This window comes from Homo sapiens, chromosome 1, assembly GCF_000001405.40.
Source record: "Homo sapiens chromosome 1, GRCh38.p14 Primary Assembly".
Classification (NCBI taxonomy): domain Eukaryota; kingdom Metazoa; phylum Chordata; class Mammalia; order Primates; family Hominidae; genus Homo; species Homo sapiens.
In genome coordinates, this window is record NC_000001.11 from 205,657,851 (window position 1) to 205,672,075 (window position 14,225).

Here is a 14,225-nt window from a genome sequence, read left to right on the forward strand (position 1 = left end):
TAAACATATAAGAAAGCCTTTAATTTTGTCACCATAAACATTATACTCTGATTGCTCACTTACAGTATAAAATATTCACCCCGCTAAATAAATAAGACGACATTATTGCAAACGGCACTTAAACCCCCCCTGAGAGATAAGACCTCCCTTAGCTCAGGCAGGGGGTGCTCCTGAGTTTCTGTGTGAGATTCCCCAAGCACAGATATACTCTGGGGGCTGAGATGGACAAAGGCTTGGGAAACCGCACTTTGTGCTTCTGGTCCTGCAGTAGCTCCAAACAGGGTTGTGGAGCTGGTGGGGAAAGTTGGGGGTAGGGGAAAGTTGGGGGTAGGGGAAATTTTGGGCAGTGCCTTCATCAGCCCAGTCCTAGAGAGAGTAGAGGGGAGTGGAAGTGGGGGGAACCAGGCTGGGCCAAGAGAAGAGGGGTGGTTAGGGAAGCCGTTGAGACCTGAAGCCCCACCCTCTACCTTCCTTCAACACCCTAACCTTGGGTAACAGCATTTGGAATTATCATTTGGGATGAGTAGAATTTCCAAGGTCCTGGGTTAGGCATTTTGGGGGGCCAGACCCCAGGAGAAGAAGATTCTGGCAATGATCAGCCCAATGACCAGCTATCTCAGGGGACCTGATTGTTGGGGATCCCCCACCCTACCCAAATATTAGACACCAACACAGAAAAGCTAGCAATGGATTCCCTTCTACTTTGTTAAATAAATAAGTTAAATATTTAAATGCCTGTGTCTCTGTGATGGCAACAGAAGGACCAACAGGCCACATCCTGATAAAAGGTAAGAGGGGGGTGGATCAGCAAAAAGACAGTGCTGTGGGCTGAGGGGACCTGGTTCTTGTGTGTTGCCCCTCAGGACTCTTCCCCTACAAATAACTTTCATATGTTCAAATCCCATGGAGGAGTGTTTCATCCTAGAAACTCCCATGCAAGAGCTACATTAAACGAAGCTGCAGGTTAAGGGGCTTAGAGATGGGAAACCAGGTGACTGAGTTTATTCAGCTCCCAAAAACCCTTCTCTAGGTGTGTCTCAACTAGGAGGCTAGCTGTTAACCCTGAGCCTGGGTAATCCACCTGCAGAGTCCCCGCATTCCAGTGCATGGAGCCCTTCTGGCCTCCCTGTATAAGTCCAGACTGAAACCCCCTTGGAAGGCCTCCAGTCAGGCAGCCCTAGAGACTGGGGAGAGAGGAGAGGGACGCCCCAGCCCCCAGCTGTGCAGCTACGCACCTCAGCAGCACAGGGTGGCAGCAGAGAGCCACATTACTTTGGCAGCAACAGAAACTGGCGGCCAGCCCGGCAGCCCCATGGGGCTAACAGGAGCGGGGAGCTGGGACCCAGTGAGGCAGGCCCTCCACCCCAATGTGCTGGAAGTTTTCTACGCTGAGTATTTGGCCAAGTCGCTCTTGTCAAATACTACCTGTGTAGCAAAGTAAATGGCGACCAGACCCAGGCCTGCGGCAGACACCATATAGGCAGTGACAGACTGGCTGAGCTGGACAATGGAGCCCATAAACAGGGATGGGGCCACCTGGGACAGCAGGAAGGCACTATCCAGGATGGCGAGGTCCAGGCAGATGCCCCGGCCCGGAACCACCCTGGCCTCGGTGGGCTCACCCACCACCACACGTACGGAGACATCACAGGCAGAGGCCCCGCAGAGCGCGGGTGGAGGTGGGAGCAGGCCACTGCCTCCAGCACCCACGTGTCCATTAGGGAAGGGAGCTCCAGGCTTAGGGCCTGGCAGGAAGCTGGTCATCAGGCTGTCCTCACTGCTAGCACCTCCAGTGTCCCCTCGGTATTTGGGCAGGAACACCTAAGGCAGAGGGGTGAAGAAAAGGGGAAGAGGACAGGTGTGTACCCAGCACTGGCACCACCCCAGCTGTGAGAACAGACCCTTGCCTCCATCCCAGGGGCAATGGGACTTCATGAGAATCAGGAGCAGGAGAGAAGATGGAGACCCTACTTGGTCCAAGTCTAACCAGGACCCTTCCTCAGGAGTGGGAGAAGGGTAACGGGGTAGGGCGGGGACAAATGTGAACCCAGAAGTCTAGGTCTCCTCTAGCCTCTTAGAACAGGTAAGAGGCAGACAAACTCAATATCACAGATCAGAGAGAACAGAGCTCCAAGGTAAGGAAAAGACACAGGGGGAATGAAGACGGTGGTAAGAGATGCACAGAACAGAGGAACAAAAGCCAAGGCAGGGCCCCTGATGGCCCAAACCCCACGCAGGCTCTCCTAACCTTCCTTCCTGCCTGCCCTCCACTCCGACATCTGGAAATCCTCATTGCCCGGTGCAGAGAAGCTCTGCCTCTCTGGGGTCCCAGATGCCACTAGGGTAGCTGCCCTGCCATGAGCTCCCTTGTCCCCAGCCTTGGGGCAGGGAGAATCCAGTAGACCCCAAGCAGGAGGAATGTCCCTCTTCCCACCTCCCCCAGCCCCAGCTGTGCTAATGTTGAAGGCTTCTCACTTCCTTCCTGCTGTCTGACTTAGATCAGAGTGACTGGTCGACCACCATCCCCCCAACCCCTGCCCTTGATGGCCCAGAGCCTCCTATTTAAGGACAAGGCCAGGTCTTATCCAACATTGTCCCCATGCCAGAAGAGTTGAGTTGGCTGCATTTGCGAGGTGGGAGCCATGGCAGAGCTCAAACCTGACACCAGGGAAGCCCACGGCTCACCATGCAGCTCAACAAGTGGGCAAAGGAACAGGCAGACAGCGTGCAGTGCCAAGTCTGCCATCAGCTGCTGTTAGGAAGGGGCCTCCCAGGACTTCTCCTCCCTGCCTGCCACCCCAGGAATGTCCGCTGAGGTTGGAGTCTGGAGTGGTCCGAGGACAGACATGCTCCTCCATCTGGAGAAGATGGCTAGCCCCAGAACGTTCCCTGGCACGACAGCACATACTCAGGCCTGGCCGCTGATGCCAGCCCCCTGCCCCCAGCCCAGGCAAGCAGAAGAGTGAAGGCTGAAGAAGGTTATCAGTGGGCTAACAGGGGTCTCAGGGACCAGGCTCCCCCAACCAAAACCTTAGCCCCTCCCCTCCATACCTCTCACCCCTGCAGCTACCTACTCAGTTAACCAGCCTCTCAGCTACGAACTTACCTACTCCTCTCCTCAAGTGCTACGAGACGCAGGGGCAGGTCTTCCCTACAGTCTGAGAGCTCTATGAGAGCAGTCCTGCATCTCCTCCTCCCTTGGGACACCCCAACTTCATGCCCCTCAAGGCAGAGTCCAGCACCCAGGTTTGTAGCTCAGTGAGGTCAGTGGAGGGGACAAGGATGACCACACTACCTGGGTTAGGTGGCTTCCCAAGGAAAGGGGCCCCTGGAGGGGCTGGTTAGTGTAGGGCCAACCAAGAAGGAGGTCCCCACAACTTACACAGTGCCCAAGTGAGTGGGTCAGGTGTCAAGCTCAGATATCTGCCACAGGGGAAGGGGAAGGGGAAGGAGAAAGGGAAGGAGGCAAAGGAGGGATGCAGGAAAAGAAAAGGGAATTAGACAGAAAAGAAAAATAAGCCAGAAAGAAAGGGGGTAGGAAGGAGCCTGCCCCATCTCAGAGACCAGAGTAGGATACAGGCTAAGTCAGGTTGCTGCTCCCTGAAGAAAGGTGTTGCTAAGGCTGGACCATTCCCACTCCCGTCTGCTGAGGCTGAATGGCCCAGGGGTCATCTGATTCAGCGCCCTGCCTCTCCATAGAACAACCAGCCTAGAAGCCTAGGGCTCCTGCTGGCCTGACCCTTCGGGATTCCCACTATCGTATTTTGCATTTCCTGCAATCATCCATTCAAGTGCTACACAGTCCTGACCCCAGGAAGTCATTCCCAGAATCTAATCTACACTGTTCTGCAGCCCAAGCCTCTGGCCCTGGGGCTAGGATAAGCTTCTTCTCTGATTCAAAGAAGCATTCTCCAAAGTTGCTTGCCAGATACCAGGTTCTGAGCTAGTTGGCCTCCCAAAAACCCAGACCACCCCTCCCACCCTGACTCCACCCACTGGCCAATGAGTACCTGCTTCTCCCGGTGGTAGAGGGAGGCCAGTGTGTAGGGCAGGATCTGCAGGGCTGAGAAGGTGAACCCGGTGAGGGCGGCTGAAGCTGTCACCACGGCCACACTGTGGGACAGGCATGTGGCACCGGCAGCCACAGGGAAAGCTGCCACACTGGCCAAATAGACTGCTCGAGTGCCGAATCGCTGCACCAGCCGGTCCATGACCAGAGAGAAGACCAGGGAGATGGCGCACTGCAGGAACAGCCCCAGGCTGCCCATCCGAACGCCTGCAGAGGGAGAGGGGCCATCAGACAGAGCCTGGGAGGGAAGGGTCGGAGCAGTCTCAGGGAGATGAGAAGGCGGAACCACAGGTACCTGCTGCACGAGACCTGCTGTGGACCAGCCCTGCTCCCCAGCACCCTTCCCCTTTCTACCTCTAGCAATGGGAGTCTAGGTTCTTCCACTGACCCTCAGAGAATGTGGGCAACGCCCCTTGCTGAAGGCAGAGGAAGGTAGTCTGAAGGTTTCCTGGGAGTCTCAGCTGTGAGGACAGGCGGGTGAGAGGGAACACAAAGACAGCTGGCCATAGGCTTCAAGACGCTTCTAGGACGCCTGAGCTGGAAGGCGCTGGTGAGATTATTTGGAAAGTCGTTGGGGGAGCAGAGGGCACACTGCGGCTGGAACCAGGCAGATCTGAAATCCAGCCTTAACTCCTCCACTCCCTCTAGACTTTGAATAAGCTCCGCCTTTCCTTCTGTCAAACTGGGGCAACGACTCTGATCAGACTCCTAGAGCAGCCAGAGGCCTTCCTGAAACCGCAAGCAGAGATGTTCCACACCCATGAGAAGCCGTGTATGCAGATGGGGTCCATCCCCACTTTCCTGACAGAGAAGTCGGGGCCAGGATGGAGAGGCACCAGCCCAGACACAGCCCCGAGTGTCGTCTCTGGTGGGCGGCTCCCACACCAGCCTCTGCTGGCTGCCAAGGCCTTACCTTCATCATAGTGTCTCCGGGCCTCGGTGCCCGGCTCAGCTCTGGGCACGCCCTGGTACAGCCCCTCGCCCACGAAATCCGTGTAAAACAGCGTGAAGGTCATGAGTGCCATCCAGCTGCACAGCTCAGCCACGAAGAGCCGGCGCAGGGTGCGGGGCATGCGGCAGCACAGCTGGTGCAGCCGGGGAAGCAGGGCGCCCAGGTTCCGGAAAGCCAAGCGGGCCCGGCATGGACAGCAGTGGGGCGACAAGGAGGGGGCCGACAGCCCTTCTGCTGGCTCGGTGGGGCCCAGCGCTGCCTCCTCAGCCACCAGCAGTGTGGCTGCTACGCAGGTGAGGAAGATGAGGGTGAGCAGGCCAAAGAGGCACTCCTCCTGGGTGCCCAGGTAGGGGGCCAGGGCACTGGTGTCCCAGTCAATGGCAGGCAGGAGGTAGCCCAGGCAGCCCCCAAGACTGATCATGAAGGCATAGACAGAGTAGGCCTGGCGACAGTGGTCCGGGTCCCGGAAGAGGTCAGAGAGCAGGGCCTCCAGTGGAGTGAAGCACACCTGGCCACAGAAGTCCAGCAGCCCCACGCCCAGGATGAGCAGTGCCAGCTCCAGGGGCCTGGGATCCGGGCACAGCAGCCCTGCTAGCCAGCCGGCCCTTGGGATGAGAAAGAGGCTCAGCAGGATGCCCAAGGACAGTGCCCAGATGAAGGGCCGGCGGCGGCCATAGCGTCCACGCCAGTGGTCACTGGCTGAGCCTAGGAGCGGGACACAGACCAGGCCCAGCACTGGACCAATGCCTGCAAGAAGGGAAGTAGTATGAGTCAATGGCTGGGACAAGTAAAGGGCAAGGGGAAGGGGAACCAAGCTCCGTGAGAAGGATGGAAATAACATTCCGTACTCGACACTGTGCTACGTCTTCACAGGGATGCTGTAATTTACTCCTCATAACACAGGCATTACAGATGCCCCCATTTTCAGATGGACAAACTGAGGCATGGAGCAACTAAGAAGTGATACTTATTCAAAGGCGCAGACCTAGGGAGGGTAAGAGGCAGCGTTTCAACAAGCAGTGTGACTCCAGAGCCTGCAATCCTCACAGGGGCCCCTCTTCCTGGGGGTGAGGGGTTGTCACACAATGGTTACTACTTGCCTTCTGTGGCTTTTGTAGAATTTATCTGCAGAGTCAGGAGTCCACCCCTTGTCCTAGGGGTAGGAGCAAGCTCCGGCTGGGAGACCTTGATGGAGTCCCAGCTCTACTGTTCAGCTGCTATTTGGCTTTGGCTAAGACTTACCTAACCTCTTAAAAGCCTCTGCTTCCTTCTCTGTAAAATGGATCACCTCAAATGGTGGTTGTAAGCATTAAATGAGATAATCGCTATAAATTATAAAAGGGCTAGCCAAAGGTTAGGAGCATTTCTCCAGTGTCTCCTATGAGCCAGGCTCTGTGCAGGACCAGGGATCCAGAGGTGACTGGGGTATGTCCTTGGTATTCTCTTCTTTCTCTTGGTGTGCCCCCTCAGCCCAGGGTCACCCTCCTGCCCAGCAATGCCTTCCCAGCAGACCACCTCTCCCTCCAAGCAGCTCCCAGGGCAGAGGTACTCCTGTCCCACATGCCAGGTGGCATGTATCTGGAACAGGAAGGAAGGAGGATGTAGTGACTCACCCAGCACCATGGTCATGAACTTCTCCTCTACCCCCACTTCCAGCAGCAGAGGCGGCACATAGGTGATGCCTGCGGCCAAACACACCTCCAGGCCAAAGGTTAGCAGGTTGACCAGCAAGAGCTGGGCTTTCCGGTGCCGCAGCAGGCGGCTCACCCACAGCCTCTGGACCATAGTGGGCCAGGCGGGTAGGGCTCAGGGGGCCGTTCAGGCACTCCAGAACTGCTTCGTCTCGGCTCTGCTCCAGAAGCTGCGGCCTCTCCTCCTTGCTGCCGCCAACTGCCTAGGAATCAGCCAGGCGCCCATTTCTGCCAGCCCTTTGGTGCCGGTCCAGCTTCTCAGCCCATGCTCAACACCTGCTGCTGTGGGGCACCTCAGTGGGGACACGTCTCATCACTCAGATCCTAGAAGGGCGGGGCAATCACAAGCACACGGGGTGTTAAGTCCTGGGAGCCAGGTCTCCACGATTTGCTCTAAATTGTCTGGATCCTGATCATTCACAGGCTGGCGACTGGCCCTGTCACCGAGGTGCCACCCCCTTCTGCCCAGTCAGGAAATGCATGTTAATATTAGCCTACGGCTGACATAATTAATAAGGTAAATATGATTTTTTAAACCTCAGCACACTCCAGAGCCAAACAGATGTTGGTTATTCTCTGTTTTGAAAAATCTACAATTTCCCTTCCCTGTTAGTATTGGGGAGCGGGAGGGAGCAATCAAACCAACTGAATTTTTAGTTGCCCAGCTATCAAGGTGCCCCTGGAGACCCTCTGCCAGGCCTGGTTTGTTTGCTTTTGTCTTTCTACTCCCCAAACCTGGGGTGTTCAATTCCCCTTTGTTAAGAGTAACACTTCCTATTCTGCATTGCTTGGCCATGAGCCACACTGCACCACAACCCCTAACCCCAAAGACCAGGATGAAGGGGAAAGGGAGGAGAGGCTGTTTTGTTGGGTTGGGTTTTAACTTACAGAAGGCTCCCTGGGGTGAGCCTAGGCCTGAAAATCTCTCCCTTGAGTTTCTCCCTGAGTTCAACGTTCAAGGGGAAGAAACAATCCCTCACATGGCCGTCCAACTGTCATGGGAGAGTGGAGCCGTCCCCAGGTTCTAGCTCACAGGGGCATGAAACCACACCACCTGGCAATACCTGTAATGATACCAGTGACTCCCCCAAGCTGACAGGATGCCCAGCCACTTCCAGGGCAGCCTTTCTGTGCTCTTAAATGGCAGAGAAAGGAATTTTTCGGTGCTCTTTTCAATTTTCAGCAGAGAAGTCCCACACCCCTTCCTGCTAGCCCTGCCTCCTGTGCAGAAAGAACCATCCTGTACCTCCCCCGCCAAGCAAGCGGTCTCCAAGTCTTGCTTCCCGACAATACAGCCATTGCAGTATCTAAGCCTCTGCTTAGAAGTGACTATGAAAAGCTGGGTGCGGTGGCTCATGCTTGTAATCCCAGGACTTTGGGAGGCCAAGGCAGGCGGATCACTTGAGGTCAGGAGTTCAAGACCAGCCTGGCCAACATGGTGAAACCCCATCTCTGCTAAAAATACAAAAATTAGCCAGGCATGGTGGCAGGTGCCTCCACCACCCCCAGCCCCTACTCATGCCCTCTGCCAATCTCAGCACCTCATTATAAAAGGCATTTCAACTTATCTTATCTTTTCACACAATACTAAACCCCATGGGGCCTTGCATATTACAAAGCGTGTTGTGGGTGCTCTGAGCTGTGCCACAGAGAAATCAGCCAGGACTGAGTGTGGTGGCTCATGCCTATAATCCCAGAACTTCAAGAGGCCAAGGCAGGAGGATCACTTCAGCCTGGGAGTTTGAGACCAGCCTGGGCAACACAGCGAGACCCCCTCTCTACAAAAAATTTAAAAATTATCCAGGCGTGGTAGTATGCACCTGTGGTCCCAGCTACTTAAGAGGCTGAGATGGGAGGATTGCTTGAGCCTGGGAGGTCAAGGGTGCAGCGCGCAGTGATTGGACCACTGCCTCCAGTCTGGGTGACAGAGGGAGACACTGCCTAAAAAAACATCAGATGGCTATCAGTCCTGGGTAAGGTCTGTTCACTCCACCACCACCTTCAGGGGCTTTGCAGCTGGCAGATCATGAAGGAAGGGAATTGAGATAAGGCTGGGCAACCAGCAGCCTCCTCCCCTAAATCCTGCTCAGACTCACCCTTTGGGATGGGGCACACGGCCTCCTACGGAGGTGGCATGAGAAGGGGTGTAAAATACTGACCCATACTGTCTCCAAAAGGAAGGTGGAAGGCCAGACCTCAGTCTTAGCTGAGCTGTCATAGGTTCAACTTGAGCATCTCATTGCTGCATTTCCACAGTACCCCCAAGAAGGAAAGCAGGAGACAGCACAGAGACCAAGAGGCAGTGCTATCCAGCCTAAAGGGAGGGGTTCTGCGGCCAAAGGCTTCCAGCCCATTCCACTCCCCACCCTTGTTCTGGGAGGGCCCTGAATGCTAACCTGCTCTGGGTTTTCAGGAGACCAGGTCCTCCCTGAGCAAACAGAGACTTTGTTAGACCCAGCCTCGCCTATAACCTGCACCCATTCTCTAAGTCCTGGCTGCTCCCTATTGTTTAAAATAAATTGCAGGCCAGGCACAGTGGCTCACATCTGTAATCTCAGCACTTTGGGAGGCTGGAGTGGGATGATGGCTTGAGGGCAGGAGCTTAAGAACAGCCTGGGCAACATAGAAAGACCCTGTTTCTACAAAAATAAAAATAAAATAGGCCAGGTACAGTGGCTCATGCCTGTAATCCCAGCACTTTGGGAGGCCAAAGCAGGCAAATTACCTGAGGTCAGGAGGTTCGAGACCAGCCCGGCCAACGTGGTGAAACCCCATCTCTACTAAAAATACAAAAATTAGCTGGGCATGGTGGCGTGCGCCTACAATCCCAGCTACTCGGGAGGCTGAAGGAGGAGAATTGCTTGAACCTGGGAGGCGGAGGTTGCAGTGAGCCGAGATTGTGCCACTGCACTCCAGCCCCATGACAGTGCGAAACTCCATCTCAAATAAAAATAAATACATAAGATAAAAAATAAATAAATAAAAATTAGCTGGGCATGGTGGCATGCACCTATAATCCCAGCTACTCAGGAGGCTGAGGTGGGAGGATCTCCTGAGTCCAGGAGTTCGAGGCTGCAAGTGAGCTATGATCGTGCCAGTGTTCTCCAGCCTGGGCAACAGAGTGAGACCTGGTCTCTAAAAAATAAAAAAATAAAAATAAACCACAGCTGTCCAGCAACCATTAATCACCCCACCTGCCTTGCCCCTCCCTTAATCAAGTTCCCAGGCCCCCCAGGAATTAGCAGGATCCTTCTTAGCCCACATGGGAAAAAGACAAAAAGAAAGAGGTAAAGAGAAGAGTGCCCCCCACCATCCTCCTACAGCCCAGATAGCTCATTAGTAGCCTCCCAGTTCCTGGGGTGCCTTTCTCCAACGCCCCCCATCCCCACCCAGAGATTCTTTACCTGGTAACTTGGGGTTGGGCCAGGTGGGGAAAGGATTTGACTAGGAAGGGTGCAGGCTTCAAGCACCCCTGTATTCTTTGGTGGCAGAGTCCGTCCTCCCTTGTTTGAGTTCTACTCTGCCCAGCGGGTCCAGAGTCCTCTTGATACCCCCAGACTTTACTCTTCCCAGCCCGGAATTGCCTGAGAAGTTCCAAGCCCATAAGCACACACTACCCTCCAAAGCCCCCTTTTCTTATCCTTGCATGCTTTCCAGTGCCCCAGTCCCTGTCATTTCATCCCTCCTCCAGGGTCCTCGGGCTAAGGAGACCACAGAGGACTCCTGAGCACTAAGTCCAGCTGCTCGCCATCCCCGCTCCAGGGCCGCCTTCCCTGGAGCACAAACGGAGGAGCCCAGCCTTTCTCAGTTGTCAGGCTCAGGGAGGTCAGAGAACAAGAAGTCTTTCAGTACCACTTTTCTGGCCACCACTCCCATCAGCAGCCTCAGGGCAAGCTTCTTGCCAAAGCTTGCAAGTGACAGATCAGTGTTGGAACCCCGCCTCCTGCCCCAAGTCTGCGGAACTCCCCTGTCCTCCTGGGGACAGGGTCCAATTCTCCCTTACACCCTCCAGTCTTGGAGATGCTTCTAAAATCCTCCTGCCCTACTGCTCCTGGAACACTTTGGCAAAGACAAGATCAACCAGAAGAGCCAGCCTCAGAGCGTTCACCTGGCAAGGAGTGGGCAGGAAGAGGAAGGAAGTAGAGGGGCTGACCTCTCAGAAACGCAAGGAACAGGCAGCCTTCTAGGACAAGTCCCTCTCAAGTTCCAAACATCTCCCCTCCTCTCTGGGCCCAGCAATGCCAAGACAGCAAGAAAGCTGGAGGAAACCTAAGGCCTCTGGGAACCTTTCTGGAGCTCTGCCCCAGGTCATCCTTCCTCATCCTTGGGGGAAAAGAATCAAAACCCAGAGAGACCAAGGGCCGTGGGCAAGGTCAGTGAACCTGGATCCCCGCTGCACCCCTCCAGGTACTGGGAGATACATGCCCCTATGCATCCCAATATGTGACACCCCCAGGGCTGGCTCCCACCCCAGCAAGAAAAGGGGCCGGGAAATGTTTACCTAATGAATGAATGGCTAAGAGCAAGGGGTGGCAGTAGAAGCAAGGGTGAGGGCTTAAGTCCTCCTCCTCCCACGTGCTCGCCACACACCGAGGACTTTGCAGGCCCAACTCCAGAGGGAGCAGCTCCTATGGGCTCAAAGGTGGTGAGTGGCTCAGATAAACCCTCCTGGACTGGAAAGCCCCCACTTCAGACCAGACCCCAAAAAGGGAGTTTTGGGGGAAATGAAACTGAGCAACAGGAACAAACTTGGCCTGAACTTTGTCCAAAATACAGAAGACAGAGTGGCAGAGAAGGAGGAAAGCTGACCCGAGCCCACTCCCTGGTAGCTCCCTAAGGGAAGGGAGGGTCAGAGGGGGATGTATAAAGAGGTCTTTGAGGGCTTTCAAAGGGGCTTCTGCCACCCCGCATGGCTGAGGTGGAGCTGGGGGAGCAGATTCCCTCTACTGACAGACAGAGGCCCGTGGAAGCCCAGGCTGGGGGCAGCCCCCACCCCGGGCCTGTGTCATGCAGCAATTCTAAGGCTTCTTTATGCAGGCCAGCGTCAAACCCCACCCAGGCACATCAAACGGCTGTAGCCCCCACCCTGACCCCGCAGGCTCAGCGACCCTGCGTGTTCCCTGCACACTCACAAAGACGCTCTGCTTTCTCCCAGGCTCCTCAGAAGCGGCTCCTCTCCCCTTCACAGCCACCCCGCAGCCCTCCCCACAGAAGGGGAAATCGGGGGCTGGTGAGGCACGAGGAATAATGACTCAGCTGAGGAAAGCGGGTGGGGTCACCCTGGGCCAACCTCCCGGACACACACCCCACCAAGGCTGCCCTGCCCCAGGTCAGTGAGATGGCAGAGAAGGGGCAACCCCAGCACCTTGCTCCAAACTGAGCTCTCCAGGGTCCTCTAGGTTGGGGGCAGGGAGTGGACCTCTCAGGTCTGGGGGTTCCCCAGCCCTCCTCCCCATTACCCACCCCCTCCTCGCCCCAGTCCCAAGGGACCAATGCTGTCACCTTACCTAATGAAACCTGGCACACTGACTGCACTCCCCACGAGCCCCACCCTCACGGCAGCTCCACGGGAGCCTTGGGGACACCCCAGAAAGAGCCTGCACTAGCCAGGAGACCTGGAAATGAGCATTCTTGTGAGACAATGCGCTCCCCATCATGACAGATCCCCTTTGTGAGGGGTGCCATGTGCTTGGGCTGCTGGGGAGATGGTGGGAGGGACACGGCATTAGACAACCACGGCTTTGGTGACTCCCAACCCACTCAGTCTTTGATTCTCTGGGGCCAAATATTTCCAAAGCAGTGAGGGTCTCTGCTTTCCCCAGTCTTGCCCTAGAAAAAAACAGTGATTTGCAGAAAAAGCGGAGGCCCACGACTTCACAGGGCTCCCAGGGGAACCTGAGGACCCCACTCAGAATGAAGCCCCCCCACCTCAGGGACTCCTAAGAAAGAATAAGGGCCGGCAGTGGGACGGGGGACCCCAGCCCCATCCCGGACTTGCTCCCTGGTGCCTGCCTCCCCCAGGGCCTGGAGGCCAGGGATTTAGAGTTCGCCCTGCTGAGCTGCCTTTTCTTCACCGTTACTGGAAGCCTTCTGCTTAGCAGCTTGTCAGAGAGGGTGAGGGGGCTGCAGGCCGGGACACAAAGGGGGATTAGGGAGAAACCTCTCGGCCTGCAGAGTAATCCATCAAACTCTCTCCGGCTGCCAGCGCCGGCCCCTTCCCACTCAATTCCCCTTCCAGCTGCTGCTGGCCCCCACCCCCTCCGGCTCCTGAGCCCGTCACTTCGGGCAGCAAAGAGAATCCCAGGCCCTAGGGGGGCAGAGGGGGCACACCACAGACACTGGGAAAAGGGCAATGGCTCCCTCCCCCCACTCACCCCCAATGTGTGAAAACCCAACAGGTGGCTGTGGCGCGGTGGAGAGTGGCTTTTGTTGCCCTGTCTGAGAGCTCCAGTCCAGCTTTGGAAAGGAAACAAATGCCAGAGGAGATTGGGGGAAGGGGAGGGGAAGGGACAGAGGGGCAGTCCCTGGAGCCAGCACTGCCCTCCCCTCCCCTCTCCTACCCAGTGACAGGGATTCTGGGGCTGGCTGACCCTCACCTTGGCCAGAGTCAGTCCTGGACAGCCTAAGCTAGGGCTGAAGCATGGGGACTCTCCCAAGGGTCACCTGGCAATCCCATGGTGACAGTCAATACAGACACACATTCTGACTCCAGGCACCTGGGCCTCCCAATCACACTTAGTTTCTGAGAACAGCTGCAACCCAAGGTCACACTGGGCATGCCCTCCAAACCAGGACCAGCAGTGCTCTTCAACCTGGAGCTCTCTTCCACCCGAGGGACCACAACCCTCTGAATCCTGACGTCCCCAAACCCTGGCAGACTCTGCAGGCTGACCTGGGTTTGGGTGTCTGCCTGACCTGGGTTTGCATGCCAGCTCCACCACTTATTATAATTGCATGAGCCTGTAACTTGACCTTCCCATGCCTCAGTTTCCTCATCCACAATGAACAACAGCAGGCCGGGCACGGTGGCTCACGCCTGTAATCCCAGCACTTTGGGAGGCCGAGGCAGGCAGATTACCTGAGGTCAAGAAGTTTGACACCAGCCTGGCCAAAATGGTGAAACCCCGTCTCTACTAAAAATACAAAAATTAGCCAGGCCCAGACATAGCGGCACATACCTGTAATCCCAGCTACTCGGGAGGCTGAGGCATGAGAATTGCTTGAAACCGGGAGGTCAAGGTTGCAGTGAACCGAGATCATGCCACACTGCACTCCACCCTGGGCAACAGGGTGACTCTGTCTCAAACAAACAAAAAACCACAAACACGCACACAAAACAGAAAAGAAAACGCACAATAGCAGCCAACATTGAGGTTATAATACATACTAGGCACTCTGCCGTGCGTCTTGATCTTCCAACCATCCGATGAGGTGGGTACAATTAGTATACCCATTTTACAGGCACAGAAACTTAGATTAATACCACCAACTTCATAGATGTGGAGTGTGTTTG

General features: G+C 55.7%; 1 protein-coding gene across 1 annotated transcript in view, besides 7 other annotated features; it reads right to left on the bottom strand.

Moving 5' to 3' along the window:
* The window catches only part of SLC45A3 (solute carrier family 45 member 3), a 22,659-nt gene continuing 8,434 nt past the window's right edge, over positions 1 to 14,225 (bottom strand). The window contains exons 2-5 of the mRNA NM_033102.3: positions 6,635 to 7,036; positions 4,983 to 5,768; positions 4,011 to 4,276; positions 1 to 1,821 (exon numbers count right to left, since the gene is read on the bottom strand). Coding sequence (NP_149093.1) covers positions 1,384 to 1,821; positions 4,011 to 4,276; positions 4,983 to 5,768; positions 6,635 to 6,806 — 1,662 coding nt within the window. The 5' untranslated portion in view covers positions 6,807 to 7,036 and the 3' untranslated portion in view covers positions 1 to 1,383. The remainder of the gene's footprint in view (positions 1,822 to 4,010; positions 4,277 to 4,982; positions 5,769 to 6,634; positions 7,037 to 14,225) is intronic.
* Positions 2,227 to 2,815: an enhancer, noted in NCBI's record as "H3K4me1 hESC enhancer chr1:205629205-205629793 (GRCh37/hg19 assembly coordinates)". NCBI's record gives its function as "activates a minimal SCP1, AML or CMV promoter by ChIP-STARR-seq in naive H9 embryonic stem cells {active_cell/tissue: H9 hESC(naive)}" and the evidence as "EXISTENCE:reporter gene assay evidence [ECO:0000049][PMID:30033119]".
* Positions 4,135 to 4,689: an enhancer, noted in NCBI's record as "H3K27ac-H3K4me1 hESC enhancer chr1:205631113-205631667 (GRCh37/hg19 assembly coordinates)". NCBI's record gives its function as "activates a minimal SCP1, AML or CMV promoter by ChIP-STARR-seq in primed H9 embryonic stem cells {active_cell/tissue: H9 hESC(primed)}" and the evidence as "EXISTENCE:reporter gene assay evidence [ECO:0000049][PMID:30033119]".
* Positions 4,690 to 5,245: an enhancer, noted in NCBI's record as "H3K27ac-H3K4me1 hESC enhancer chr1:205631668-205632223 (GRCh37/hg19 assembly coordinates)". NCBI's record gives its function as "activates a minimal SCP1, AML or CMV promoter by ChIP-STARR-seq in primed H9 embryonic stem cells {active_cell/tissue: H9 hESC(primed)}" and the evidence as "EXISTENCE:reporter gene assay evidence [ECO:0000049][PMID:30033119]".
* Positions 6,155 to 7,354: an enhancer, noted in NCBI's record as "P300/CBP strongly-dependent group 1 enhancer chr1:205633133-205634332 (GRCh37/hg19 assembly coordinates)". NCBI's record gives its function as "activates an origin of replication core promoter dependent on BRD2, BRD4, P300/CBP, MED14 and CDK7 cofactors, with strong dependence on P300/CBP, by STARR-seq in HCT116 cells {active_cell/tissue: HCT116}" and the evidence as "EXISTENCE:reporter gene assay evidence [ECO:0000049][PMID:35650434]".
* Positions 11,327 to 11,406: an enhancer, noted in NCBI's record as "active region_2386". NCBI's record gives its function as "activates an Ori minimal core promoter by ATAC-STARR-seq in GM12878 lymphoblastoid cells {active_cell/tissue: GM12878}" and the evidence as "EXISTENCE:reporter gene assay evidence [ECO:0000049][PMID:35858748]".
* Positions 11,417 to 11,496: an enhancer, noted in NCBI's record as "active region_2387". NCBI's record gives its function as "activates an Ori minimal core promoter by ATAC-STARR-seq in GM12878 lymphoblastoid cells {active_cell/tissue: GM12878}" and the evidence as "EXISTENCE:reporter gene assay evidence [ECO:0000049][PMID:35858748]".
* Positions 12,167 to 12,728: an enhancer, noted in NCBI's record as "NANOG-H3K27ac-H3K4me1 hESC enhancer chr1:205639145-205639706 (GRCh37/hg19 assembly coordinates)". NCBI's record gives its function as "activates a minimal SCP1, AML or CMV promoter by ChIP-STARR-seq in naive H9 embryonic stem cells {active_cell/tissue: H9 hESC(naive)}" and the evidence as "EXISTENCE:reporter gene assay evidence [ECO:0000049][PMID:30033119]".